General features: G+C 46.8%; 1 protein-coding gene across 20 annotated transcripts in view, besides 2 other annotated features; it reads right to left on the bottom strand.

Moving 5' to 3' along the window:
- ASAP2 (ArfGAP with SH3 domain, ankyrin repeat and PH domain 2) overlaps positions 1-27274 on the bottom strand; it is a 198867-nt gene that overhangs the window by 144667 nt on the left and 26926 nt on the right. For 2 of the 20 annotated variants that reach the window (XM_006711901.4, XM_047446202.1), the window contains exon 1: positions 23067-23179. The exons of 16 other annotated variants lie outside the window; for them this stretch is intronic. In XM_006711901.4, the coding sequence (XP_006711964.1) occupies positions 23067-23075 (9 nt within the window). In that variant the 5' untranslated portion in view covers positions 23076-23179. Of the gene's footprint in view, positions 1-23066; positions 23182-27274 lie in introns of those variants that run through there. 2 more of the 20 variants (XM_011510406.3, XM_047446228.1) reach the window with 2 other exon arrangements.
- Positions 25418-26617: an enhancer, noted in NCBI's record as "P300/CBP strongly-dependent group 1 enhancer chr2:9374524-9375723 (GRCh37/hg19 assembly coordinates)". NCBI's record gives its function as "activates an origin of replication core promoter dependent on BRD2, BRD4, P300/CBP, MED14 and CDK7 cofactors, with strong dependence on P300/CBP, by STARR-seq in HCT116 cells {active_cell/tissue: HCT116}" and the evidence as "EXISTENCE:reporter gene assay evidence [ECO:0000049][PMID:35650434]".
- Positions 25725-26350: an enhancer, noted in NCBI's record as "H3K27ac-H3K4me1 hESC enhancer chr2:9374791-9375416 (GRCh37/hg19 assembly coordinates)". NCBI's record gives its function as "activates a minimal SCP1, AML or CMV promoter by ChIP-STARR-seq in primed H9 embryonic stem cells {active_cell/tissue: H9 hESC(primed)}" and the evidence as "EXISTENCE:reporter gene assay evidence [ECO:0000049][PMID:30033119]".

The raw sequence follows: 27274 nt of genomic DNA, 5'->3' as shown, positions 1-27274 counted from the left end.
GCATTTGAAGTTCACCAGGGGCACAAGAATCTAAAGTTCACCAGGGACACAGGCACAACCCCCCTAACCACCCTGGGTAACCAATTCCTTGTTTCAGAATCTTCTGAAGGGCCAGGGTGGCGGAGAAGCAGATAGAGTAGGGGCAGGGTCATCATTTGCATGTGTCCAGGTTACACAATCCGGGGCTCTTCCTGGGCTTTTCAGAGGGAAAATTAAAACCCTGCTATCTTTAGTCTTTCATTTCTCCATCTTCAACTTCTCAGTTCCTGTTTCCCATCCAAAAGACTTGACCCCATTCCCCTATGGTAGAATGGGAAGCAGGGAGGAGAAAAACCCAGAATAGGGAAGGGAGAAGAAAGGCAGGAAGGAACCACCAGGATTGCTGGGGCCCTGCACAAAGCCAACCTCTGTATGCAGCAGAGATTGTTTTCTAAAAAAGGAGTGTGACGATGCAAACAAGGTCATGTGCCTTTTAGAGCCTGGCCAGCCCCGTGCCCCTCTCCAGCTTCTCCCACACAGAGGTCATGGGCCCCGCTCCACCCGCAGCTCCTACCCCAAAATTGGTCATCTCTAGGCATGAACCTTTCATTTTTCTACAATCCAAGCAGTGAGGTGATGGGAGAGGGGGAATGAGCTGAGGGAGGGCCCGAAGGTGCACAGGGATCAGCCAGGCATCCTTCCCGCCCCCAGCAGCAGATTCTGGATCCCACCTCATCCTCATGACCCAGGCTTACTGCGGGAGTCACTGCTACAGATGAAGACCATGAGCTTTCATTCCCACATCTCCACACACAAATTACTTGATCACCTGGGCCTCAGTGTTCCTATCCTTAAAATGCGGGCAGTAATAGCTACTCAATACAGTGATTGTTGCCTTGACAGTTGGAGAGTCCCCAGGTTGGTGGAGGACCTTTCCCCTCCCACCTCCATAGCAGAGCCATCAGGCCATCAGACTGGTGCCTGACTCGGGGAGAGGCCAGCCTGCCTGGGGCCTTGTAAGTGGGGTTCCTCAACCACAGAGTTTCCCAGATAGGGGAGGGGGCGATGCGCAGACACTGGACAGCCATTCCCAATTTTAGACCTGGGTTCCATACTCGGCTCCACTTAGCCCAAGGACTATGCAGGACACTGCAGGGGCTCATCAGGGTGCAAGGGAGCTGAGGAGACATGGGGGGCATTTAGCATCGGCCTCCATCCCTGGCCCCAGATGTGCAGGGCTACTTTGCCTGTCGGCCTCAGATGAGTTCATCTGAAGATCTCTGCGCTAAAACACACACACAAGGCTGGGTTCTGCTGCCCTCAATGGAAAGCAGTCCACCCACTGGTGCCACACTCCCAACAGCGGTCCAGCCTCGGGGCAGGGGGCCTGAGAGCGCCAAGGAGCAAGGTGGAGACAGAGGCGAGGGCCAAAGAGATGCAGATGGTGCTGTTCATTTTTGTTCCTTAAGGTTTTGGGCTGAAAACTGTGCCCTCTGATAGCATCCACCTACCAGGGAGCAGGAGTACAAGAGGAGGACTTGAGAGGTACAAGCCAGGCTGAGGGGTGGGAGCCTGCAGAGAGGGGCACCCCAGCCTGGGCAGCCTGGCAGGAGAGCAGGGCGCAGGAAGCGGGGGCAGACGCAAGGAAGGGCAGGGTCCCTGCCACTGCAGGATGGCGCAGAAGGGAGGGGAAGTGCAGCAACAGGCAGGGATGGCGGCCCTTGGCTGTGCTGCTAGGGTCAGCAAAGGCCATTTATTCTCAGCGTTGAGGGATGAATGTTTCTCCCCAAGGAAGGGCTTCAGCCCATTAGTTTTACTTTCTTTGTTTGTTTTCCATCCAAAGAAAAGAAAATTTGAAACCCCAGCTAACAGAACAAGAGAGGAAGCGAGGGGAAGGGCTCCCTGGGCAGCAGCAAGTAAGGGGAAGAGGCTGAACCTCCGTCCCACGGGCTGGACCACGGCCCAGAGCAATTCCCTTCCCTGCTAAGGGGACAGTCAGGCCTGCAGACACCACAGAGAAAGGCCGAAGAGCAGGCCCAGGGTCCTGGTCTGGCCCCGCGAAACTGGCTGCAATCCGAGGAATATCACTGGAGGGCTGCAGACCCCAGTCTGTAATCAGGAGCATGGACCTACAGACTCTAAAATGCTGAGTCCTAAAAGCAAAGACTACATGTAATGCTGCTATGTTTAGTTTGAGAAGTGAAGAGGAGAGAGAGCGAGAGAAATAAATAAGTAAAAGTGAAGATCATCTGTTTCTCAGCCAGAATGCTGTCTGCTCTGAAGCTGATCTGTGGAATATTTACTGTTCCTCAAGAGATCTAAAGAAGTTGCAACAGCCACAAGAGAGTCAGCAGCTTCCGGGGGTTTCGCCTGCTCAAGCCACACTGCCCCAGGACCCGGGAAGGTTTGCATTTGTTGTGGGGACTGAAAATCATGCATTGTGCAAAATGAGAAGATGAGTGTGGCGGCGGGGGCACCATGGAGACTGTCACCTACTCGGATTGGGGCCTTAGGTGAGCCACTTCTCCTCTGAGCTTCTAGATACAAAATTCTATGAAAGTACCACCTTTAAAACAGCTTGCATTTTAGTTATCTTTCCAAGAAGGAAATCTTACAATTACATTCAAACATATGTGAGGTATTTTTTAAAGGAAAGTAAGACTCCTGACCAAAAGTCTCAAAAAAAAAAAAAAAAAACAACTACTGATTACTATCAATACTGTGAATAGCATTTATTTCAACTTTACAAATAAATAGCTGGTAATCATAGAAATTTTTTTTTTTTTTTGAGATGAAGTATCGCTCTGTCACCCAGCCAGGCGTGAGCCCCCACACCTGGCCAAAGGTAATTTTTAATGAAGAATTCCACTGCATTTCCCTGGCTTAGATTTCTCAAAATAGATGGAAAGAAATGAAATGTGTATGTCCGTATATCCTACCCCAAAGTCAGGGTACAAATGTGATGATACCAGCACTGGTTGTGGGGGTAGCAGTAATAACAGGCTTCCAACTGCACAGCACTTCTAAAAGTGCTTTCACACAGATTATGGCACATGACTCTCCAACCTGGGCAGTTGGTAACACAGGCAATATTATTGCAACAACATAGAAAGTAACACTCACAAAGGTATTTTTCCAAGGCCACATAGGTAAGGATAAACCAAAATGCCACCTTTGTATTCTCTTTTTTTGCTTAAAAACCACTTTCAGGCCAGGCACCGTGGCTCACATCTGTAATCCCAGCACTTTGGGAGGCCGAGGCGGGCGGATCACTTGAGGTCACAAGGAGATCAAGACCAGCCTAGCCAACGTGGTGAAACCCCATCTCTACCAAAAATACAAAAAAATTAGCCGGGCATGGTGGCGTGAGTTTGTACTCCCAGCTACTCGGGAGGCTGAGGCAGGAGAATAGCTTGAACCTGGGAAACGAAGGTTGACGTGAATGGAGATCGTGCCACTGCACTCCAGCCTGAGTGACAGAGAGAAACCTTGTCTCAAAAACAAAACAAAACAACCACACTTTCACATTCTCCTAGCCTGTTCTTTCCGACATCATGTACTGGTTCATTAGTTTGTTCAAGGTAATCTCCTGTTAAAAAGTTAAGAAACAATAAACCAAGAAAATAAAGCTATTTTAATTTTGCAGGGAAAAGTTTTAGGCACCTATGGTCATTCCATAATGCTTACTAAGTAGGTATATCCTTCCTACCACTGTTTGAGACTACTATAAAACAGTCCCTGCTTTCAGACTTCAAATTTCCCAAGGCAATTGAGACTTTTCATTAGCTGAACCCTAAGGAACAAGGACAAACTGTCACTCCTTCAGGATGGGGGCCCGCACCTTCTGATTTTTGAATCTCCAGCACCAGTGGAATGCCCGACACGTGTAAACACTCCACGAACATGGAATGAATGAAACCATCCTCTGCTGCTCTTTAGTTTCTACCAAACGCCCTGTGACAGGCTGTTAGGGAAAGACACCCTGGAGCAGGTAACACAGGCACATCCTGAAGAAAGTGACAGGCTGTTAGCAGGCAGGAGGCACTCCAGCCAAGGACTTGGAATGAGTCCATCAGCTGTGCTGCCCCCTCCCAGCCCTTGGCTGCAGCAGGAGGATCAGGAAGGAGAGGAACAAGGACTGAGGGTGGACAGGACAAGCGGCTAAGAGACAGTCATACTGACTCTCGGTCAGTGCTTTTTTAAAACCCAACTCCTCTGTCACACAGAGGAAATGGATTAAAAAGGTCTCTTGCTGGAATACAAATTGCTCAAATGCATACCATCACATCCCCAAAATGGAATCAATGAGAACACTGAGGCTGTTTTCATTCATTTGAAATTGGCAGTTGGATGCCAGTGGCCTGCACTTTCATTTCAATACTCTTCCAGTTACACAAGACAGAGACAATTCTGATTTGCACATGTAAATAGAAACAGATGGCCACATTCTTTTTTAAAAACAAAATCCAAAAGCTTTGGAATAGTAAGAAATTTGTTTCAACTCTCTACCACTAACAACATCTAATATCTCCTTGCAGTCCTTATCTCAGATATGTTAGACAAGAAGCATCTGAAACATATATTGACTGCTCAGCCCATGGACAGCATCATCATTGGCACAGCATGTTAAACGCTAATTTCTTTATGTACAGTTGACACTGCCGCTTTGCCTGACATTTAAGTGAAGGCAGCACATGCATATACACCCTCGTGCTAAACTCCAACTTTTAACATCCTGGCGCCCACTGACATGCTAATTTTTTATCTTCATCACCCCAAGCTGGCACATGGTTGGCACTCAATAAATATTCATTAAATGAATTAATTGGGCTGCCAGAATTACTTGCTTTCTTTTTTTTTTTTTTTTTTTGCAGGGGACCCTAGAATAGTTTTTCTCCTGCCATTTCTATGAATGTCTGAACGTGCAAATATGTCAATGACTAGGGAAAATATAGTGACGCACTGGTCATTCTACAACTTTAAGTCTACACAGGTTCCTTCATCAAAACAGGGCATTAAAAACAACTAAGCTATAGAGCCAGATCACTGGAGGTACTGTAGTTTATAACCTGCTTATAAACCCCAGTTCTTAAGTCCCTCAATGCCTAGCATGCTACCTACCAATACGCATACAAATAAATCAGACGATCTTGTGCCCCCCAGCCCAATGTTTACCAAGACTTCAAAATGTTCTGGTGAGATCACCTCCCTGCTATGTGATGCAAACATCAGAGTATAAATCTTTTCAGAAAACTTTTTAACAACTGTTGGAAATTTTAAAGATAAAAGCAATACAGGTCAAGCAGACCCCTGAAGAACCTCTGGAGCACCACATGGTGCTGGCACCAGCTCTGCCCCCGACTCCCTTCATCAACTCAGGCACCTCCCTTCACCTCTGTAAAGCTAGGTGGCTTGAACTCCATAATCTCTGACGACACCATCTGCCGAATCCACGGCAAGGACACACAGAACCAGAGAGGCTACTTCATTAAGCTGCAGTGTGCATTTACATCAAATCAACCATTCCATAGTAACAAGGCAATATGAGGCCATCTTTTTAAAATTCCATAGGAGAATTTAAGTAAATTGCTAGATCCTTCCAGTTTTTTCTGTGTGAATGATTTATCCCAGCTTCTAGGAATATGTGCAATATTATTCCACAGAGCACATCTTTCAGAATCTTGTTTCAGATTATTGTTACTTAAATAGTCCATTTCTCCTGAACAGCCCTTCAGGTAAGAGACATTCAATACTCATTAGAATCTCTACTCTCATGATGCATTGTATGATCTGAGAACCAACTTACATGGTACAAGTATAGACACATAACATCAAAGAAGATACACAATGGCCAAGATTCTGGTTTCATTAGTTACCAGGGAAATATAAATTAAACCACAATAAGATTCCATTACACACCCAGTAAAATGGCTGATAATGCCAAGCACCGATGAGGAAGTGAAGGAACTGGAACTCTCATACGTGGTTAGTGGAAATGAAAAATGATGCAGCCACTTTGGAAAATGGGATGGCAGCATTTGATAAAGTTAAACACACACTTAGCACACAACACGGCAATTGCACTCTCAGGTATTTCCCGAAGTCAAAATATAAAACGTGTCTACCTACACAAAGACTTGTAGTCAAATGTTCATAGAAGCTTTATCCATAATAGCCAAAAACTGGAAAGAACCCAAATGCCCATCACTTGGTGAACTGATAACAAGTAGTACCGCTTATCTTCAGGGAATACATTCCAAGACTCCCAGTGGATGCCTGAAACCAGACAGTACCAAATCCTGTATATACTGGGTTTTTTTTTTCTATACACACATACCTCTGATAAAGTTTAGTTTATAGGCCGGGGACGGTGGCTCAAACCTGTAATCCCAGCACTTTGGGAGGCTGAGGTGGGTAGATCACTTGGGGTCAGGAGTTCGAGACCAGCCTGACCAACATGGTAAAACCCCGTCTCTACTAAAAAAAAAAAAAAAAAAAAAAAAAATCCAAAAATTAGCTGGGGGTAGTGGTGCATGCCTGTAATCCCAGCTACTTGGGAGGCTGAGGCAGGAGAATTGCTTGAACCCGGGAGACAGAGGTTGCAATGAGCTGGGATGATGCCACTGCACTCCAGCCTAGGCAACAGAGTAAGACTCTGCCTCCAAAAAAAAAAAAAAAAGTTTAGTTTATAAATTAGGCACATTAATTAGGATTAACAACAATGACTAATAGAATAATTATAACAATATACTATATATATGCATACACACACACGTGTATATATATATATATATATTTTTTTTTTTTTTTTTTTTTTTTTTTTTGAGACAGTCTCCCTCTGTTCCCCAGGCTGGAGTGCAGTGCAGTGGTGCAATCTCTGCTCACTGCAGCCTCTGCCTCCTGGCTTCAAGCAATTCTCCTGCCTCAGCCTCCTGAGTAACTGGGACTACAGGAACGTGCCACCACGCCCGGCTAATTTTTGTATTTTTAGTAGAGACGGGGTTTCACTATATTGGCCAGGCTGGTCTCGAACTCCCAACCTTGTGATCCACCCACCTCGCCCTCCCAAAGTGCTGGGATTACAGACATGAGCCACCGTGCCCGGCCAACAATATACTGTAATAAAAGTTATGTGAATGTGGTCTCTTTCTCAAAATATCTCGTTGTATGTACTATTTTCGGACCTGGGATGACTTCAGGTAACTGAAACCTTGGAGAGTAAAATGCAGCTAAGGGGGAACTTACTCTGTATCCATACAACAGAACATTATTCAGCAATGCAAAGGAGTGGTCTAAAGATACATGTAACATTGTAATCTCCAGGGCACTAGGTCAAGCAAAAGCAATCATACACAAAAGGTTACATACCCTATCATTCCATTTATACGGAATTCTAAGAAAGGCAAAATTGTAAGGACAGAAAGCAGCGCAGAGATGACAGGAGGCAGGAATGGGGGAACCAACTGAAGAGGGGAGTTCTGCGTGACGGCACTCTGCTACGTTACATCTGTAGGGTGCTTAGACGATTTCACAAAACCCACTAAACTGCACATTTAAAACGTGAATTTTGGCCGGGCACAGTGGTTCATGCCTGTAATCCTAGCACTTTGGGAAGCCAACGCGGGCGGATCACCTGAGGTCAGGAGTTGGAGACCAGCCTGGCCAACATGGTGAATCTCTGTCTCTACTAAAAATACAAAAATTAGCCAGGTGTGGTGGCGGGCACCTGTAATCCCAGCTACTCAGGAGGCTGACGCACGAGAATCGCTTGAACCCAGGAAGCAGAGGTTGCAGTGAGCCAATATCGCGCCATTGCACTCCAGCCTGGGTGACAAGAGTGAAACTGTTTAAAAAAACAGAAACAAAAACAAAAACTGGTGAATTTTATTGTTTGCAGAGTAGACCTCAATTCAGCTGACTTTAAAAACTTTTTAAAAAACAACAAAAAACGACTTTCGTTTCTTTGTTGCCTCGGGATTGGCTTGGGCTTAGGGATGCACGGGCAGCTTTTGAGGGCTGCAGTGAACAACTAAATAGTCAAGATGCTTGGTGTAGGACCAGTGATTGGGCCCACGCACTATCTGCTTGTGTTCCTAAATTCTTTTTTTTTTTTTTTTTGAGACGGAGTCTCGCTTTGTCGCGAGGCTGGAGTGCAGTGGCGCGATCTCGGCTCACTGCAAGCTCCGCCTCCTGGGTTCATGCCATTCTCCTGCCTCAGCCTCCCGAGTAGCTGGGATTACAGGCGCCCGCCACCACGCCTGGCTAATTTTTTTGTATTTTTAGTAGAGACAGGGTTTCACCGTGTTAGCCAGGATGGTCTCGATCTCCTGACCTCGTGATCTGCCCGCCTCAACCTCCCTAAGTGCTGGGATTACAGGCGTGAGCCACTGCACCCGGCCGTGTTCCTAAATTCTTTAACTGTCTTCCGAAGGCTTTTTTTGGGGGGCGGGGGTGTTAGGGGAATAGGGTCTCACTTTGTCGCCCAGGCTGGAATGCAGTGGTGTGATCTCAGCACACTGCAACCTCCACCTCCTGGGTTTAAGCGATTCTCCTGCCGTAGCCTCCTGAGTAGCTGGGCGTGTGCCACCATGCCCAGCTAATTTTCTGTATTTTTAGTAAAGATGGGGTTTTGCTATGTTGCCCAGCCTGGTCTTGAACTCCTGGCCAAAAGTGATCCACCCATCTCGACCTCTCAAAGTGCTGGGATTACAGGCAAGAGCCACTGCGCACAGCCCCAAAGGCCTTATTTAAAATGACTCTTCCTACAGTCCCTGGTTCATCAATTACTCTCAGTTGTCATCTGCTCTTTGACCTTCAAGGCTGAGTGGCCTCACTCCAATGCAGTCCTAGCAGCTGGTGTCAGGCACGCCTGCCCTCCCTGGCCTGAGTGACCTCTCTCCAAGGCACCTCACAGTGTGTGTTAACGGCTTTTGTGACACGAAGGCTCTCCTTCCAGCATTTCCCAGAGGGAAGGTTTTGTACAGGCTAACACTCTAACACCTACTGGCCAGTACTTCCCAAGTACATCTGATTTATTTCAAATAACTGATGAACTAAATTCAATGAGCTACAGATGATAATTAAAAAAAAAAAATTAAGGAAAGAAAAAAAAAAGCAATGTGGGCACAGGCTTCTCATTCCTAAAGCTCCCTGTCAGTGGCCTCAGGCCCATCTCTGCTCCATCCATCACTGCCAGAAAACTCACATTCAGTCTTCCTTCCTGGCAGCTGTTCCTCACCCTCAGCCACAGCCACCTTCCCCTTGCGTCATTCCTGAAGGCATTCCATTTGCCACGCTGATGTCCTCCAGCCACTCCACTTCCTCATCACAAAACCGAAGGTCCCCAGGAAAGACCCCATGAATTCAACAAGGTGCGCCCCCCAGCTGCTCCCTTCCCCTTCTCCCAAGGGTCACTGAGTCCCCAACTCACCAGCTGGGATGGAGGGAAAAGGAAAGTCAGATGAGGTAATGCGTTTTAGTAAAGTGTAAAATGCACGTTATCTTTACTTATTAAGCATACAAAACCCACCCGACGGACATCAGGGATTAGCTGTTCTGCTTCGAGCTTCTCAATTTCTCCACATGCTTTGCGCCCAGACCCACTGAGCAGCCAGACTCAACCAGATTCCCCAGGTCTGGGCCCCCACAGGGAGGGCAGGTCCCCTAAGGCTGTTACACGTGAGTACCAAGCAGATGGAGCCCAGAAGATGGGAAGGAGTGGGACGAAGTCAAATGCCAGCCCCACCCTCACAACCTCAGTCCCCTTCTCTGTAAGACAAGTGACTAGAGGGAAAGCCACAGGGCCCACCTCTACTTGCGGACTAAACTCCTGATGTGACAACGCTCTGGCCACGTTCCTCCTTTCAAAATCTCCTTCGCGATCTGTTTACCAGCCCTCCACGCTCCACTCCCGTCCACTTATTCCCTGAAGAACCTGTGGGTTTCCACACCTCAGTGTGTTTTCTCACCTCTAATCTGTCTCCAATTCAAACTCTACAGACCTTTCAAGATCCACCCAAATGCCACCTCCTTGGTGAGCCTGCCCACTCCGGGTTCCCATCTTATCTCTGTAAGAAATTGACTTTCACCACGCCTCGTTTCATAGTTCACTGTTTTAAGTTCCCCGGGAGCAAGCCCCGAGTCTTGTCTATTTCTGTATTTCCACCATGGTGGGCTCAGCACTTTGCTCACAGATGGCCCATGGTGGCCTGTGCTGAATCACATCCCTAGGACCCCGCAGGTATAGCTTAATTCCACAAGGCAGATTAACAGGAAGACTGCAACATCTCAGGGGCTGAGACACCTCCGCTCCACCCTGGCTCTGATTCAGAGCTCCTGAGCTCCACAGCCTACTCCTGTTCCTCTCTGGGTGCTCACTGCTTTCTGCTTCCAACCTTGTCCGATAGTTACTTGTGGCCTCGGCTTAAATGAAAGAGCACACCACACTGCATTTGCCCTGGGGGCCGTGCAATGTGCCCTGTATCCTTTTGTACCCTCTGTGGAATGGGAAAACACTTTTACACCTCCCAAGGCTTAAGTGATTAAAGATCTGGGGTCCCAATTCCCACCCAAGGGCCACATGTCTGGCATCCTGCATCCCCACTCCCATCTTTAAAGTCATGCATGGCACCTGGGGCACCGCGAGAACTCCAGGAGCCCTAGGGACAGCTGTGTATTCACATGTCGTGTTCTTTCCCCTCTTTCCCTGGTGCCTAGGCAGGAAGTCTGTGGTTAAATACCATTTGCTGAATTATTAGTAATAATTACCATGTGTGTAACATTCCTTACAGTTTGTGGAGTTTTATCCAACAAATGTTACATGACCACTTTGTGTCAGGCAGCGTGTTAAATGCTAAAAATGATCCTGGCAGTTTCTGCCCCCAAGGAGATCATGGGTATTATTTTAGCTTTATGAAACCCTACAAAGCAATTGAGGTAGGTATTATTTTCCTCATGTTACAGATGATAAAACTGAAACTCAAGTGAGTAAGTAAATATTCCAAGTAAGAAAATGGAAAGAAGGGAAGAGTTGTATACCCAGATTTGACCCCAAGCCCTGCCTTCCTTCCACATGGCATGTAGCCTTTTGATGGGCAGGAGACGGTGGCCCAATGTTCCTACATACTTCTCACAGATCCTGAGCAGGACCAGCCCAAAACAAAAATCTGGAAGCCTAGCAGAGTGTTTTCAGGGTAGCCTCTCTCTAATCATGCCCCTCGGTCATCCTCTGCAGTATCCCCACACGGCCCTGCCCTCCTCTGGGGGTGGCAGTGCATGCAGCTCCCCCGCCAGCCCGGGCATGCCTGCCTGCAGCTCCAGGAGACCCGTGCCAGCAATCTCAGCCCAGCGCCCAGTCTCACTCAGGCTGTGAACTTTCTGTCCACACGACAGTGTGGGTGCTCCACCCTGCTAAGTCATGGCTATGCAGTCTATGTGATGGGTCAGCCTGGCATTTCCTTCCCAGGAATTATTCACAGGACATCAGCAATTCCTCCTACAGGGCAATCTTTGCAAGCTCCTAGGGGTTGTCTGGAGCAGGCATGGCGTCATGAGAGTCCCTCAAATTACTCCCCATCAGAGCAAAGAACAAGCCCAAGTGAGGGGCTCAAGTTCATCAGAATGAAACCCATTAGACACTACAATCATCAGAGAAATGAACATATATGGGGAAGGCATTGCTGTCCTCTCTAGAGACGTGAGGGCAGAATGGGGCAGACAGACAGGCCACGGGCAGGCTGAGCCACAGACAAAGTTCACTCCAAGTTCACTCCACATTCAAGGTGGAGTTTGAGGCTAAAGCTCGCAGCAGGAAGAACAAGACATGAGGCCATTGCTGTCTGACAGAGGAAAGAAACTGGAGCTAAGGAGGCCCCAAGAGGGCCAGCCTAGCTCCACCACAGACTGGCTGTGTGGCCTCAGCCACAAGACAGCCTCTCAGCCCCTACATGCCCAGCCCAGCCACAAAACATGCAATTTGTCCAGGAGAATGCTAAAATAAAATCTCCTCTAGACCTAAAATTCTAGCATCCTATGTATTCGGGTTGGGAGGAATTTACGCAAGTTAAAGGACAGCATTATTTTACACAAATTACCTCCTTCTGGATTTGGGGACATGGAGAGCTTCCATGACAGGTAGACACAGAGCCAGCCTCGTTGCCACCTAACACTGAGCTCACATCAGAGTCGACATCAGGAAGACTTCAGAGACACTAAAAAACTAGGTTCAGGGACAGGGTCCCTGGCCATAAAGAACTGCCATCTAATTGAAATATACAACCTACATGTCAAATGGTGTAAGGAAATTTACCAAATGGCTGGTAGATAGGAGTGAAAGTTACAAGCAGAGTAAACAGTAGAAGCAGTGAATTCCCATGCCCAGCCAGGGCCTGGGTATCTAAGACCTCACCGTCAGCGTCTTGCCTAGTTCTAGGTGTGTTTATTCTGAACACACCTCTGAGGTTTTACAGAGGAAGAAACCGAGACCCAAAACGCTGACTCTCACTGGGGTCAACTAGCAAGGAGGTGGCAGAATAAACAAGAGGCACACCCTGGACTGCGACTCCAAAGCCCGTGTTCTATCCTCTCTACGCTGGCATTTTCCCCATGCTTGAAAAATAAAGAGCTACACATACACTAATTACCCAGAAGAAAAAAAAAAATGACACCAAGATACCAAAGGGTTTTCTAAAAACCATCTTGGTTATAAAACAGATTTTGTATTTTCCTCTTTTATTAACAAATGCTGAATATAATTTGGCTTAAATACTCAGTATTGTTGGGAGCACCAAAGATTCCCACTCGGAACACAGGCCTGCGTGGCCTCCGTGGTTAGCGTGGGATGCAGAACTGCTGGCCACCACACTGATGGCCCTGCTCTGCTGAGTTCGTCTTCTGGGTCACCTGCCATCTCTTGCTGCTGTCAGCCGCCCCCCTTCCATCAGCCACCCCTTCTCCACCTAGCGTCTGTCCCAGACTCGAGGACAGCTGAGCTCCAAGGCCTTTTCTGTTGACTTCCAGTTCCTGGACATGTTCCAGATGGCAGAGGTTGCTAAAAGTCTGACCTCTGGATAAGTGGAGCATAATTATGCCTGAGAGCTGGGAGGATACATCATAAAGAGGTTATCAGTGTGGGGGGCAGAGGAGGAGAGCGGGAAATAGGGCCAAAAAGTGGCAGTTTCCTGGATCAGCTGAGTTTAGCAGCAGATTTTAAACCCGAGGCACATGAAGTTTAAAGACAGAGACTATCTAAGGATAGGAACTGTTAGCAAGTGCAAAAAATAACAGAAATAGCTTCTGCATTCACTGAACACCTACTCCGCGTCTGGCACCAGCCTAGGCGCTTTCTAAACGCTGTTTCACTTAATTAATGACTGAGTATCATTCCCAAATTTCAGAATGAGGAATCTGAGGACCAAAGACATCTGAGCTAGTGAGCAGCAGAGGTAGGATCTGAACCCTGGAACCCACTGCCCATCCACATGGCTGCCTTAAAAACCCTTCTATAATAACAGACGCAGCGAGCAAATCCACAGAAGCACTCAAATCAAAAAGCTAGACGATGGACCGAAAGCAGCGCATGAGGTAATAAGGTCCATGAGGGCAATATCCTATTAGGCAGGCAAATTGCTAAACTGATTCGCCTCGTGCAAATGAGGACCGGGGACCGTCTGGGACTCCCTAGGCATCTGCGGACTGGGAGCAGTTCCAAGACAGCAGCCTCTGGTGAAGGGCAAGTCAGTCTCCTTAATTGAGGAGCGAAGAGTTCATCCTCATTAGGATTTCCAGCTGCTGCCACCCCAATACCAGATCCATGCAGCTTGTGCCGTCAAAACTCACGAGCAGACAGACTGCTGTCAGGAAGAAGACCTTTCTCCTCAATTAAAAATATTACTGGACAGGCTGGCCACAGTGGCTCACACCTATAATCCCAGCATTTTAGAGGCTAAGGCAGGCAGACTGCATGAGCCCAGGAGTTCAAGGCCATCCTGGACAACACAGACCCCATCTCTACAAAAACATTAAAAAATCAGCTGGGTGTGGTAGTATATACCGTGGCCCCAGCTACATGGGAGGCTGAAGTAGGAGGATAGCTTGAGTCCAGGAGGTCAAGGCTGCAGTGAGCCAAGATCATGCCACTGCACTCCAGCCTGATGATGGAGCAAGACTCTGTCTCAAACAAAACAAAAAACCTGGACAATTTCTCCACATGCAGCAGTACACAGGCTTGTGTAGAAGCCAGGAGTATCCCAGGAATGAGCCTCTCCCACATCGAGCCACAATGGATTAAACCATTTAGATGTGACAAGAAAGATCAAGAGCATTAAGGAAAAAAGGAAAGAAAGTTGTAGTAAAGATGACTAAATTGAAGACCTCTCACGGTTCTCTTTATTCTGAATGCAGGATGCAACTTTATGCACAGGTGAATGATTACAATTTTCACACAGGTGGGGCTGGGCGTGGTGGCTCATGCCTGTAATCCTGGCATGGGAGGCCAAGGCTGATTGTTTGAGCCCAGGAGTTCAAAACCAGTCTGGGCAATATGGTGATACTCCGTCTCTACAAAAAATTGTTTTAAAAAATTAGCCAGGCATGTTAGCGCACACCTGTAGCTCCAGCTACTTGGGAGAACAAGGCAGGAGGATCACTGAGTCCAGGAGGTCGAGGCTGCAGTGGGCCATGATCTGCACTCCAGTCTAGGTAACAGAGCAAGACCCTGTCTGTAAAAAATTTAAAAATAAAATAAAATTTTCACACTAGTTTGCTCAGTGTAATAAGTGGTTACTGAGAAGTCAGGTGAAATGAAAAGTTGGTTCCGTCCACCTGTTTTAAATGTCTAAGGAGTACGGGTTTGGAGAAACCATACAGAGAATCCCCATTCATTTTTTCACTCAAATGTAAAGAGTTGCCTGAAGTCAAGCAGCTGATCAGGGATAAAGCCAACACTCCCAAACCAGGGCTCCTGCCAGTCAACACAGAGCTCCTTCCCCCAACGGGGTCACACCACCCTCCTGTCCTTTTCACAGAACCTTCTAAACTTAGATAGCCATCCCCATCGTATGCTTGTTTTTAAGGTTTTAATTATTATATAATCAAATGTGGGGCTCACTCCTCTTGCATCCAAGCCCCACAACAACAATAACAAACTATTTATTGAGAACAAGTTCTGTCCCAGGCACTGCTCTGGGCACTGGGGATCTGGTGGCGAAGAAAACAAAGGCTCTGTCCCCCAGGAGCATCCATGACACTCTAGTGGAGGCAGACGACGAACCGACTAATGCATGGCACACAGCGTCAGACTGCAGAGACGGGAGGAAGGAAAGCAAGCAGAATCCTGCAAGCGCCCCCAGGCCCAGATTTCTGTGTGCTCTGTTCACAAACGCAGCACCAGCACCCAGTAGGTATTTTCTGACTGAAGAAACAAAGAGAAAGAGTGGTGCTCTTTTAGATTCAGAAGTCAGGAAGATGTATAGTGATATTCGAGCAACACACACCAAAAAGACTCAGAAACTAAGTGTAGGTTACAGAAGGTAACGTCATCACTTTGAGAAATGACCAACAGTAAATGTATGACTAATCTTTTAGGGTTTGTTTTTATAGAACCCTCCACACCTAGCACAGTGAATGCCCCCAAGTAAGCACAGAGCCGAAGAAGTGGCCAGGCAGGCTGGCTCCGTGTCAGGCAGCCCCCACCCACCCCAGGTGTCTCCAGAGCCCATTCAAATGCAACAGCCACGGCAGCAACACACTGGCACTGACAATTCGATAGTCACACCAACACCCTCCTCAACAAAGCCATTGCTAGCTGTGGTTCTCAAACCAGAAGCTCCTGTGTGGGAGGAGCCCAGCTCTCTGCATCCAAAATCAAGCTACAAGTTCCTGGAATCTCTATTAATAACAATATTATTCTTACCGCAGTCCTACAAAGTGGGTATCAAAGTGACTTGCCCAAGGCCACACTACCAGTAAGAGGTAAAAGTTCACAACCAAACCTAGGCCTGCATGATTCAGACTTTTACCTTTTATATGACGGGAGGACTTCAAGTAGTGCTGGCTAAAAGCAACTGAGCTCACACACCATCGTGTCACCCTGTCAAATAAGCAATTATTCTCCGCAGAAAGGCTAAGTAACTAAGTTTTCTTAGACTCAAATCATAAAAACCATAAAACCATGATTTTTATGATGCCTCAGAAAGGATCTAATGAAAAGGGTTTGCCTTCACATCATGTATTCTCATATACTGTAAATAAATCCACATTAAATCCATCTCCTGTTCTTCCTACAAACACTTCTGGGTACCTGGGAAGGTGCTCAGGGAAGAGTCCCTAAGTGTCACTGGCACTGGGCTGCAATGGTAGTAAAAGCCCAGGTTAGTGATTCTGTCCTTCAGTCCAGTAAGTGCCAGGCCACTGAGGCACAGGAGCTTAATGCGAAGTGCTTCTGAACTAAGTTTGGTATTTAAGTTTGTGTCAAGCTCTTCCCGTGGACATTAACTGTGTCGCACACTCTGTGCTAGGAGCTACGCATGTGTTCTCATCAAGGGTTCTCTGTTCTGTTCACACCGTGAAACTCAAAAACTTCTTTCAGGGTTTTACAGAATCCACTTTGCTTAGATTAACATCCACTTAATCTTCCAAAGACAAGCATTTTAACTTATTCCTAATCTCAGTGTACCTTGCTAAGGTACTGTATGGTGGAAAGTCTGAACATATTCAAATTCTTTTTATTGTTGTTGTTTTGAGACAGGGTCTCACTCTGTCACATAGGCTGGAGTGCAGTGGCGCGATCTTGGCTCACTGCAACCTCCACCTCCCGGGTTCAAGTGATTATTTCACCTCAGCCTCCCCAGTAGCTCAGACCACAGGTGCGTGCCACCAAATTTTTGTGGGGTTTTTTTGGTAGAGAAGGGGTTTCACCATGTTGCCCAGACTGGTCTCCCAAAGTGCTAGGATTATAGGCCGCCCACCTCGGCCTCCCAAAGTGCTGGGATTATCGTTATGAGCCAACGTGCCCAGCTGATATTCAAATTATTTTAATGATGAGTTTATATACATATCATGTTCCCACTAATTCCCAAAAGAAAACTTCATATACATATTTCATAAAAACTAACACACACACAGCACATTTATTCTGGGGAGGGAACAAAAATTGCTGGCTATTTTTACTACACTATTTCCTAATTACTTATATCGGTCCCTCACAACTAAACTGTGAGTCCTGGAAGGCCCATATTTAGAATCCTCAGCAACTAGCATAGTAAATAAGCAAAGTGCTACTGAATAAATGAGCAGATGAATGAGTGACTACGTACCAGAATGCCCTGGTTATACATGCATTCTGCCTCAACTTAATCTAGGTAAGATAAAACAAGCTTCTGTAAGTGGAAACGCTATCTCATTCTCCAATCTCCCTGCAAATACAGTTATATCTTTGGTTTCCACCAAACTAGACCTAGGAAGTATTTTAATACAATTCATCTGCCTGACGTACAGAAAGCAGATATTGTAAGCAAAGTTGTATTTTAACAGTTACTTCTCTGACTCAGTCACATTTTCCGTCTGAGTTCCTAAACAACAGTGATTGTAATCTATGGACAAAAATGCACATTATAAAAAAAATCTTTAGGCCGGGCACGGTGGCTCATGCCTGTAATCCCAGCACTTTGCGAGGCCGAGGTGGGTGGATCACGAGGTCAGGAGATCGAGACCATCCTGGCTAACACAGTGAAACCCCATCTCTACTAAAAATACAAAAAATTAGCTGGGCGTGGTGGCGGGTGCCTGTAGTCCCAGCTACTTGGGAGGCTGAGGCAGGAGAATGGCGTGAACCCGGGAGGCGGAGCTTGCAGTGAGCTGAGGTTGTGCCACTGCACTCCAGCCTGGGCGACAGAGCAAGACTCCGTCTCAAAAAAACAAAACAAAACAAAACAAAAAATCTTCAAGGCTCACTAGGGCAAAACATTCCTGTTCTTGGAAAGTGAAGTACACATCTTTGTTAATCCGTATGCTTCTTCTCCCGATAATACTTAAAGCCATCATGCAGGGTAGGCCAAAATAAAGAAAGCACACAACGCTGCTTATGCCTCTTTTTTTGAGCAAAAATTTGTTGTTACTGGGCCTCAGTTATATCAAAGCAGGAGCTAATGTGCACCAATGTCTTACACCCAATGGTCTGAACACGTGTAATAGTCTCACCTGACAATCATCGGACAATCAAAACCTACTTCCCCAGCATCATGCTTCCCCAGACGGCAATTTTCCTCCATAAAGGAGGTGAGAAAAGAAAGAAAAGTTGGAACAGTAAAGGAAACAGAAAAAATGGGATAAAATGATGATCAGCTGAGGATTCTCTCCTTGAATCCATCCTGAGGAAGCAAAGGCCTCTGGACTGCGTTCCTTTGAAAGGTGATCCCGCGACCAGCTATCAGCCCCAGCAGTTTCAGGATGAAGACTCAGGGAACAGAGCCCACACACCGCCCAATACAAGATGTCAACTTCAAGCCAGGCTGAGGGCACCGCAAGTGCCCATCCCTGTCAAGCTAGACACAGCAGCTAGAGTATGGTACTGGGTCTATCACAGTTTGTAGCATCCAATTCCTCTAGGTGTGACCCTACCAGAAGAAAAGGCTTCTAGAAGCAGATCACTAGAGGTTACAGTGAAACCTTAGTGCACTTATTCAACAAACATTTACCAAGCACCACCAGTGTGCTGGCACAAGGCTAGGTGATGGAAGAGCTCCTGACAGTGTCAGCAAGGAACTGAATCTGCACTTCCCATGGACCAGGTCAGATCTCTATCTGTAAACCGCCAAAGCATGCGCCCCTAAGATCACGGTCCAAAGAATGCCTACCATCACTGTCTGGCCAAATAAAAAAAAAGTTTCATTCCAGCACAGAGCACAGACCTCCCCCCTCTCTTCCAAGATAGCAAACACAACGAACGCCTGTGAGGTACATGTTATGCCTTCTCCTCCTTGCTTCACATGAGGAAACTAGTGCTCGAAGAAGCTAACCAACTTGCCCAGAAGTACAGTTACCAAGTAGTAAAACCAGGTGTGAAATTCACATGTGTCCGCCTGATAACAAAGTTCTTAATCTGTCTAACATGCTCCCCTAAACTTATTGGGACCCTAACATGTGCAACCATGTAATCCTCCACCTGCCAGGTCCTGAGTTCTCTTCTCACTTATTAGATTCAACCTTTCAGGTCCAGATCAAAATGCCATCCCTTTCCTTCTCCTCGCTTTCCTTGACTTAGCACAGTGTCTGGCATATACTCACTAATGTTGGAGGAGTTGAAAATATACATATCCACAATAGGAAAATTACAGTACATATCTTTGGTGAGGCATGAACATTTACTTAAAGCAATTAGTTTTTTGTTGTTGTTTGAGCCTGGTTTGAGACTCCAGGCTGGAGTGCAGTGGTGCGATCACGGCGCCACCATGCCTGGGTAAAAGATGGGGTTTCGCCATGTTTCCCAGGCTGGTCTCGAACTCCTGGGCTCAAGTGATCCTCCTGCTTCTTTGGCCTCCCAGTGTGCTGGGATTATAGGCATGAGCCACCACACCCAGCCAGTTTGATTTTCATGTATGTATGTACATCCCCAACCCTGATATGGATAAGGAACTCATAATCGCACCAGTTTAGCATGCAAAGTGGTAATAGGACAATGACTTCCCAGAAAACCTCTCACCAAAAACTATCAGGAAAACAAAGAATTAATGTTCTACATGCACAACAGTTCAACCAAAATTCTGCAGCATTACTTAATACTGACAAAATATCTTCCAGCACACATGCTAAATTAAGAAAGATTGTATCCTAAAAGATAAATATGTGAGCTAATAATATTTCATCTTAGAATGTGTTTTTGGACTCATCCAGATACAGTACTACCCTCTTATCCACAGTTTCATTTTCCACAGTTTCCACTAACCACAGTCCAAAAATATTCCACAGAAAAGTCCAGAAATAAGCAATTCATAACTTTTAAATTGCTTGCTGTTCTATGTCAAGAGATGAAATCTCACACCGTCCTGCCTCCCACGCGGGACGTGACTCCTCCCTTTGTCTGGCAGAACCACAAGGTCCATGCTACCTGCCCATGAGTCACCTAGTAGCTGCCTAGGTTATGAGATGATTGTCCCAGTATTGCAGAGCCTGTGTTCAAGTAACCCTTATTTTTTACATAATAATGGTCCCAGAGCACAAGAACCCTAGATGCTGGTAATGCAGATATGCCAAGGAGAAATCATACAGCACTTCCTTTAAGTAAAAAGATGAAACTCCTTGACTTAAGGAAAAATTCCTATGCTGAGGTTGCTAAGATCTAAGGGAAAAGTGGGTCTTCTATTCATGAAATGGTAAAGAAGAAAAAAATAAACTCATGCTAGCTTTGCCTTCACATCTCAAACTGCAAAAGCTACGGCCGTGGTGCGTGGCAAGTGCTTAGTTATGATGGAAAAATCATTAACTTTTGGGAGGGGCTGGGCACGGTGGCTCACACCTGAAACCTCAGCACTCTGGGAGGCCAAGGCAGGTGAATCGCTCCAGTCCAGGAGTTTGAGACCAGCCTGGGAAACATGGAGAAACCCCATCTCTACAAAAAATTAGCTTGGCATGGTGGTGCATGCCTGTGATCCCAGCTACCGGGGAGGTGGATGTGGGAGGATCACCTGGGCCCAGGAAATGGTGGCTGCAGTGAGCCGTGATGGCGCCACTGCACTCCAGCCTGGGTGACAGAGTGAGACCCTGTCTCAAATAAAAAAAAAAAAAAAAAAAAAATTATGGGAGGAAGACATGACATGAACAGAGACATGTCGTGATTGAAGGCAAACTAGTTCAATATTAGCTGGCTGCAGGCATCCACCGAGGGTCTTGGAACATACCCCCCAGGGATAATGGGGCTTCAGTATTTAGATAAGTCTGTGAAGATCAACTGTGAAAATCTTATCTACATTGCTCTAAGAAGTTGACTAGTTTTTTCACCCTGACTTAATTTCTTTCCATAAACCACCCCAAAAGTAGCAGGACAGGGAAAAGAATTCAACTTAGAAACAGAAGACCTCCTTCTTACCAGCTACAAGGCCTTGGGAAAGTCACTTAAACATGACAAAAACTCATCTCTACAAAAAAATTACTGGGGCATGGTGGTGTGCACCTGGAGTCCAAGCTACTCAAGAGGCTGAGGTGGGTGGATCACTTGAGCCCAGAAAGGCCAAGGCTGCAGTGAGCCGTGACCACTCCACTGACCAGCCTGGGCGACACAGTGAGGCCTCATCTAAAACAAAAAAAAAAAGATGCTGCCATTACAGTGGTTTCAACAACAACGACAACAACAAAAAACAATGGTTTTGTGCCCCTTAGATGGGTCCAAATGGCCGGCACATAAATGGTGCTCGGTTAATATTAGGGGAAATGGGACTCATTTCTCTTACCTTCCAAGAAGCTGGACCTCAATTTTCTCATTCATAAAATAAAGAAAATGGTACCTACACCTATGGGTTATAAGAAGTAATGAGTTCAGGCTACAGAAGAGTTTGTTATTATCTCCCCCCACCACCACCCCTCCATCACCACACACATGATTTCATTCTACCCAAAATATAATGAAAGAGTAAAAAGGTCAACAATCATAATTAAACAAATCAGCCCCACAGGAGTGACTACACAGCCTAGCTGCTGTCAATAACTGAATGTACTATATCCTTATGAAGTGCAGAACAGCTAATCCTCAAATCCCAACATGATGACACCAAATCTGTGCTTACCCCACACATAAGGCTTCCACACCAAAGAGTAGTTGCAGTGTTAAAAATGTAATTCACCACACTAACAAGCTAAAAAAGGGAAACCATATGGTCATCTCAGTCAGTGCGGAAAAAGCATCTGATGAAATTAAACACCCATTCATGACAAAAAAACCAGCAAACTAGGAACAGAAGGCAACCCACTAACAGGCAGCTACAAAGCGCTTGCTGCTAACGCCACGGGACAGAGAGGGGCTGGGAGGGATGGGCAGGAGGCCACTCTTTCTCTACCCCTCCAGGCTGCGGGAGGCCCAGGGAACACAGTACAGCAAGAGAAAGCAGGAGCAGGCAAACAGATCAGGAAGGAAGGAGGCAAACAGCGTTCACAGAAGACAAAATCATCTATGTAGAAATGCCAGGCAATCTACAAAAAAGCCACCAGAACCACCAAGTCAGTCAGGTTAGCAAGAGGGAAGCTTTCGGGGTGTTTTAGGTCATAATGGTGGGGATTACACAACTGTACATTTGTAAGATTCATCAAAGTGTACTCTTAGGGTAAATTTCATTGTATGTAAATTATGCCACCAAAAAAAAACTGGCCAAAAAGGGAAACAAACACCTTATTACTCCTGAACTCACAGGCTGTTGCCTCAGCCTCTCCTCCCCATGCAAACAAAACACTGTACTTAAACCAGTGCTATGGTTTTCCATCTCCAGGGAGACCTGTACACCAGAAAAGACCCTTGAGAAAGACATTTCCAGTAAGACAAGGGATGGAGCAGCCCCCATGGGAAGGTGGATGAAAGTGATCTGGATTCTGCACAGGCTGGTAAGACAATGCTTTTTCAAGCGGATGTGGCTGTAGCTCAGCAAAGCTGTGGACAATTTGTTTACAAAAGCCTGGAGTATTGTCAAATATCAAGCGGTTCCCCTAAGTCCAGCTCTCTGGTGTTACAGATGGGGAAACTGAGGCTCCAGAAAGAGGAACTAAGTTGCCCAAGATATAACATAAGAGTGTCTACCAAAGACTAGAGGAGCTGAGGTTTTAAAAACAGAACAAATACAAGGAACCAGCATACAATCTAAACCTGTCATCTGTGTGCACCATCAATAAGCTCATCCGTGTGAAGATCAGTAGGTAGCGGGTCAGCTAACAGTGTTAGTAAGTGCTCACCCTAAATTCAAACCCCAGCAGTCGGAGGCCAGAGCCATGGCTCCTCCCACACACTGACCACCTCCCTGTGGAAGAGGGAAACCCCAGTCCACACATGTGAGACACGCCAGCCCACGGATCCACACACTGGAGCCACAGGTCAGACACAGAATGCCACTCACCTCTAACATCTTTACCTCACCTCAGGGCTCTTCTGAATTGGGACAGAGATCATACTCTCAAAATCATGGGAAGAGATGGGATCATCTCACTGGTTTTCCTCAAGACAACTGCTCTGCAAATCAAAAGAAGAAACATGGGCACCTACTGTATACAATGTACTCCACCAGGTGAGCAAGAAAAGACTCAGTCTCCTGGTCGCTCAGAATCTAGCCTTCAACCAGAGCAGGCCAGGCACGGTGGCTCATGCCTGTAATCCCAGCACTTTGAGGGGCCGAGGCAGGAGGATCTCTTGAGCCCAGGAGTTTGAGACCAGCCTGGGCAACATACTGAGACCCTCATCTCTACAAAAAATAAAAATAAAAGTAATTAGCCAGGCATGGTGGCATGTACCTGTAGTCCCAGCTACTTGGGAGGCTAAGATGGGAAGATTGCTGGAGCCTAGGAGGTCGAGGCTGCAGCGAGCTGAGATCATGCCACTGCATCCCAGCCTGGGCAACAAAGCAAGAATCTGTCAAAAAAAAAAAAAAAAAGACCAAAAGACCCAGTGGGTGCTTCCTAAATTTCAGAAAATAGGCAGAACCATCTTAATCTTTTCAAAGGTATCAATTATGTTTTCATCTAAAAGTCACAATGTAAATGAGAAATGTCCTAATCCAGCCTCAGGAGTTGAGGCCCTGTTAAACTTTTCCATTTTCACTTTTTGAAAAGCAAAAGTCAGAAAGCAACATTAACCATCAAAATGTGTACAAAACAGGGCTTTTTTTTTTAACTCTCTTTTTTTAAAAAAGCTTCCACTCACTCAAGCCAGAAACCAGTGTTTTCCTGGATTCCCAGCCCGCACAGCCAAGAGGTCAGAGACTTGTCCCTCTTGCCTATTTCTCCAAGCTGTTCCTGCCTTCCCCTCCCCTTGGCCATGGCCTCAACTTGGACCTCGTCCTGCCTTCACTAGCCCCTGCCTGGTCCGCCTGCCCGTCTCCGTACCCCAGCCCTGCCTGGTACCCACACCAGCCTCGGGGGGGATCTTTCTGACACTCAGATATTGCCCTGTCCTTGTCCCATTCACTCAAAAAAGAAACCTGAAGTAGACAACACACAGCACCTTTGCTCCAACACAGGAAAGGAGAAAGAGAAAGAAAAGCAAGAAAAAAAAAATTTAACTGTGCTGACAAATAATTATAGTTCCAAATTTAAAGGCAGGATCTTTAAAAAACAAAAAAGTAAAATGCACTGTCTGTGTCTCTCATACATACACACAACCACCTACACATACATACATACAATAACAGATAACAGTTGCTTTTAATTTTTTAAATTTTATCAAGTTTTTATTTCCCTTTGCCTCTCCGGTAAAAAATCCTCTTTAGACATTAAGAATGTTTATACAGACAATTATAAAACTAAATTAAGTTCAAGCTCTTTACATCAGTACAGAGACAATTTTAATTTTATTAATCTTCATAAAAGTAAGATATCAAAATATACACCCTAAAAAGTTCATCTGGCATACTGCACAACACAGGTTAAAAAACAGAAAAAAATAATACAGGCAAGGATAAGAATATGTCAGGAATATAAGAGGATCAGCATTTCAATCTAACTCTTTGAAGATGTCGACGAACTTAATATATTCAAGTGGCCCGAAATGATCTTTACTTCGTGGCACTTGATTACCTACAAGCCTCTGCTTATGAAACATCCAGGTCAACTTCATACTGCAAAACTTACAGAGAGACTCAGGCCCACCAAGAGCAGGAAACAGGGGCCCCAAAGCAGTCCAGGTGCCAAGGACATCCCTTTGTCCCTCCCTGACCGGCCCTCCAAGTCCACCATCACCTGAAGCCTTTTGACCCAGCGTTTCTCAACATCAGGCCCGGACACACTTGGGACAAGGTACTTCTTTGTGGTGGGTGCAGTCCTGGGCACTGTGGGATGTGTAGTAGCATCCTGGCCTCCACCCACCAGATGCCACCAGCACCCCAGTCCCCAGTCCTGGCAGATCAAACATGACTCCGGACCTTGCCAGAAGTCCCCTGGGAGGCTAAACTGCCAGGTGGAGCAGCTCCATCTGCCTAAGCCCACTGCCCTTGCCATTCATGGGAAGGCATTGCCGGCTGCATCCACCAACCAAGTTCTCCGAGTTCTACCCTCAGGGTTCAGACATCTAAAACAACAGCAGCCTGACCACTTCTTACATGTTCCCATCACAGCTGCCAGGCCATGCGGCTCACTCTGCCCTACCCAGCCCGACACCTCAGCTGTCAGCCACTCCTGGCCCCGAGACGTGGTCTGAACTCCCCTGCCTCCCGCACGCTACCACAGCAGCTCACGTGCCCCAGCTCCAGTTCTCCCTCCTCCATTTCTCTTTACTTCACTCCCTTCACTCCCTAATGTACTGGGCTTTCCAATCAGCCCACCAAGGAGCCTCCGGCCATACAAGACAGAACTGCTGCAGGATGATTTACACATCCGGCCTCTGCTGGAATGAACAACATCTGAACTCTGCGAGTGAAATAACAGCAAGCCATGAGGAAAATCAGAGCCCTGGAAAGGGAAGGGCTGGGGTGCCACCCACCAGGGCTGGGTCCTGAGAGGCAAGGCTGCCTTGGCTACCTCTTAAAAAGAAAACAACTCTGCCCGGGGCAGCTGGCACAAGCTCCATCCCTGCCACACTGGTGCACAGGACGACCAGCCATCTGTGTGGTCCAAAAGGTCATCTAACTCATCAGGTTCAAAACTACAGGCCCCATCTCTAACTCGATTAATTCTACCATTAGTCACTCTGTAGCCACACACAGATCCCCGCCTACAACAGGACAGGAAAAGCTCCAGTTGGCATATGTCGGGCGGGGACAGTGAAACACGGCACTTGGAGAAATTCAGCTCGTCTGGAGACACAGGTGAGAGGCAGAGCAAGCAGAAGGCTGGGCCGTCTACTCCTTGCACCAGTCATCATTAGGAGTCAACTCCATGCCATTCTCAAATTCCTCTCTTATCACTTCCCCAAACAGGATGTGTTCAATTGGTGAGTCATGAAAAATAGGGTATTTCTAGAAATCCACTGGAAGGAAGGTGTGGGAGAACATTTCTAAAGAGTGAGAACAAAGAGACAATATGCAAAGCCACTGAAGCATTCGCAAGGCCGGAAGTGGGCTCCAGGCTGGGCCCCTGTGCATCGGCCCCAGAGTGGCTGACCAGACTTTATTCCACCTGCCCCCAGCTCAATTCAACAGTCCAACCAACTGAACCCTGAGTAAATCCATCTTCCTTCACCTTGGCTCTACCTACTCATTTTAACTGATTAGAAACAGCCCAGCTTCTGGATCCACACAATGGGGATAGTGCCCACTTCCCCAGGTGGCTGTGAAGTCCCAGATGTCCCATCTGTCCCCTCCCTGGTCTTTCATGACAATGTCCCAGCTGCCCCAGCAGGAAGTGATCTCTCCCTGCTTCTGAGCTCCTCCTATTATCAAGGCCCCTGCAAGGCCACGCGCCGCCATTACCTTGTTCTGGTGCAATCTGTGTGCTGTCTCCTCTCCCTCCACTAGCCAGAGCCCCAGCCATGCGACAGGCTCTGGCTAAATGTTCTCCCCGGGTTTTCTCACTGAATTCTCACACCAGCCTGTCTCTAGGCAGTCTGGTTATTGCTGCCTCCCATTTTACAGTTTAGGAAGCTCAAGCTTAGGAAGCTGAGAGGCAGCACAAATAGCGTCAAGAAGAAAAATGAACTCGAGCCAGAGTGCCCAGGCTTTGTGACTTCTCTGCTCAGTGACCCAGGGAACATTGCTTCACCTCTGTGAACCACTCCCCTCTTCCTTTTTTTTTTTTTTTTTTTTTGAGACATAGCTTCGCTCTGTCACCCAGGCTGGAGTGCAGTGGTGCGATCTTGACTCACTGCAACCTCCGCCTCCCGGGTTCAAGCAATTCTCATGCCTCAGCCTCCCGAGTAGCTGGGATTACAGGTGCCTGTCACCACGACCAGCTAATTTTTATATTTTTAGTAAAGATGGGGTTTCACCGTGTTGGCCAAGCTGGTCTCAAACTCCTGACCTCAGGTGATCCACCCACCCCAGCCTCCCAAAGTGCTGGGATTACAGGCGTGAGCCACCATGCCCAGCCCACTCCCCTCTTCTTTAAACATGGGGATGATGACAGTACCTAGCCACAGGGTTGTTGTAAGGATTAAATCCATTTAACATGTGTTAAGCAC

The sequence above is a fragment of the Homo sapiens genome, chromosome 2, assembly GCF_000001405.40.
Source record: "Homo sapiens chromosome 2, GRCh38.p14 Primary Assembly".
NCBI classification, from domain to species: domain Eukaryota; kingdom Metazoa; phylum Chordata; class Mammalia; order Primates; family Hominidae; genus Homo; species Homo sapiens.
This window is presented reverse-complemented; position numbering and strand designations above follow the sequence as displayed.